This window comes from Homo sapiens, chromosome 2 (assembly GCF_000001405.40).
Source record: "Homo sapiens chromosome 2, GRCh38.p14 Primary Assembly".
Lineage (NCBI taxonomy): Eukaryota > Metazoa > Chordata > Mammalia > Primates > Hominidae > Homo > Homo sapiens.
This window is the reverse complement of record NC_000002.12, coordinates 117,552,759-117,554,988: the sequence shown is the minus strand read 5'-3', so window position 1 is coordinate 117,554,988 and position 2,230 is coordinate 117,552,759. Positions and strand designations below refer to the sequence as shown.

Here is a 2,230-nt window from a genome sequence, read left to right as displayed (position 1 = left end):
TACCCCTCAGCCTCTGGTAATTACCACTCTACTCTCTCTGCTTCCATATGTTTGAATTTTTTAGATTCCACATATAAGTGAGAACATGTCATACTTGTGTTTCTTTCCCTGGCTTATTTCACTTAGCATAATGTCCTCCAGGTTCATTCATGTTTTCATAAATGATAGAATTTCCTTCTATTGGCTGGGTGAGGTGGCTCACGCCTGTAATCCCAGCACTTTGGGAGGCCGAGGCGAGAGGATCACAAGGTCAGGAGATTGAGACCATCCTGGCTAACATGGTGCACCCCATCTCTACTAAAAATACAAAAAATAAAAATAAAAATTAACTGGGCCTGATGGCAGGTGCCTCTAGTCCCAGCTACTCTGGAGGCTGAGGCGGGAGAATGGCATGAACTCAGGAGGCAGAGCTTGCGGTGAGCCGAGATTGTGTCACTGCACTCCAGCCTGGGTGACAGAGTGAGACTCCGTCTCAAAAAAAAAAAAGAAAAAAAAAAGAATAAATAAAAATTTAAAAAAATAAAAATAAAAGAATGATGTCCTTCTATTTAAAAACAGAATAATATTCCATTGTGTATATATACCACATTTTCTTTCTTTATCTGTTGATAGACACTTAGCTTGCTTCCATACCTTTGCTATTGTGAATAATGCTGCAATGAACATGGGAATTCAGATATCTCTTCTCTTCAACACATTAACTTCAATTGTTTTGGATATATGCCCAGAAGTAGGATTGCTGGATCATACAGCAGTTCTTTTTTAAACGTTTTTTTGAAGGCCTGTCTGGTCCCCTTCAAATCCTCTCCCGGCCTTTTCATTGAATATCCAGGTGTCTGTTGGCTTTCGTTCCTCTTGCCAGAAACAATCAGAAAATAGTGTAAGTAGATATACATTCAGAAGCAGTAGTTTCAGTAATAGTTATTGCTTTTTTTTTTTTTGATAAGGAAGATATATGAGAAAAAGGACTAAAACTACAAATCATTTAGGAACAACATCAGATATCAAACACCTTGAAGGTCTTTAGGGAGAGTCAGACTAACAGTACCTGAGTAGGATTCTGTTAAACTCGGTGACCAATATTTAGAAAGGGTAAATAATTTCCCCAAGATCACCCAGCTAGACAGCAGGAATTGTGGGCTTAACCGCTTTGCTAACTGCTTCTAGAGTCAATTCTGTGGTCTTCAGGTTTTTTGCAGTACACTTGTGGACGGCACAGGATCCTTTTCCTTGAGTTTCTTTCATTTCATGGATCCTTGGTTCCCCTCAAGGATACCGGTGTATAGGATTGAATCCTGACTTGCATAACAATAAGCTGACTGAAGCTTGTTTACATTTGATTGCTGTTCACTTTGCATCCTCCCAACATGGACCCAGGTGCTCTTTGCTCTTGCCTTGGAGAATAGGATTCTTTAGGTGACCTGACTTGGTACTTAACACTCCTACTGCTTTTGTTTTTCTTCTGCAAAGCCACCTTCTTCATGTAGCTGTTTTGAGATTTACGTTGTTCTTAATTCAAGCAAACCCTGAACAGGGTTTGCCCTCTGTTGATTCTCCTGTAAGTTGCTTCAGTTTTCCTTCTCTTTCCATGCTTGCCTTTTGCTATGTCCCCTTCCTTACAGGAATGCTAGCCCGTCCCGAGCTTAAAAGAGTCACTATGACCAAAGTAGGCCTGTACAAGGAAAATAGATTTCCAAAACATTGGCTGAAAATTCAATGCAAAATTTTAATTAATTTCCAGTCCATTTCAGCAAATTGTTTTTCTCTTCTCTGCATATTTCATTTAATTGGAGCTTTCCTCTAATAAGTCAAAAATACCAGACCAAAGAGTTGAACAAAATGAGACATTCTTGAGATAATTCAGTGGTGGTTTTTACTCTGGAAATTTGCATGTCCACTGCATGAAGTGGAAGAGTTGGGCTACATTTGATATTATGAAATATCACAAACCAGTGTTAGCTTTTTTTGGAGAAGATGAGGAGTATCTTGCTAATGGTACCAGACACTTGAAGCCATGCTGAGCAGGACATGAAATATTTACCATCTCTTTTTAGGTGAGAAGGAAGATTCCTCATTAAAATTTTAAATTTACATTTCCATCCATCAGCCCGATTTCCAATTTGTGCCATGTTCTCAAATTGTCAAAGAACTGATATCTTCAGAAAATGGATTGTGAGGGAGCCTCTACAACATGTCTGTGAAATTTTCCTTAGACCAAGATGGTTGAAGA

General features: G+C 39.0%; 1 annotated feature.

Moving 5' to 3' along the window:
• Positions 1,017 to 1,607: an enhancer, noted in NCBI's record as "OCT4-NANOG hESC enhancer chr2:118310958-118311548 (GRCh37/hg19 assembly coordinates)". NCBI's record gives its function as "activates a minimal SCP1, AML or CMV promoter by ChIP-STARR-seq in naive H9 embryonic stem cells {active_cell/tissue: H9 hESC(naive)}" and the evidence as "EXISTENCE:reporter gene assay evidence [ECO:0000049][PMID:30033119]".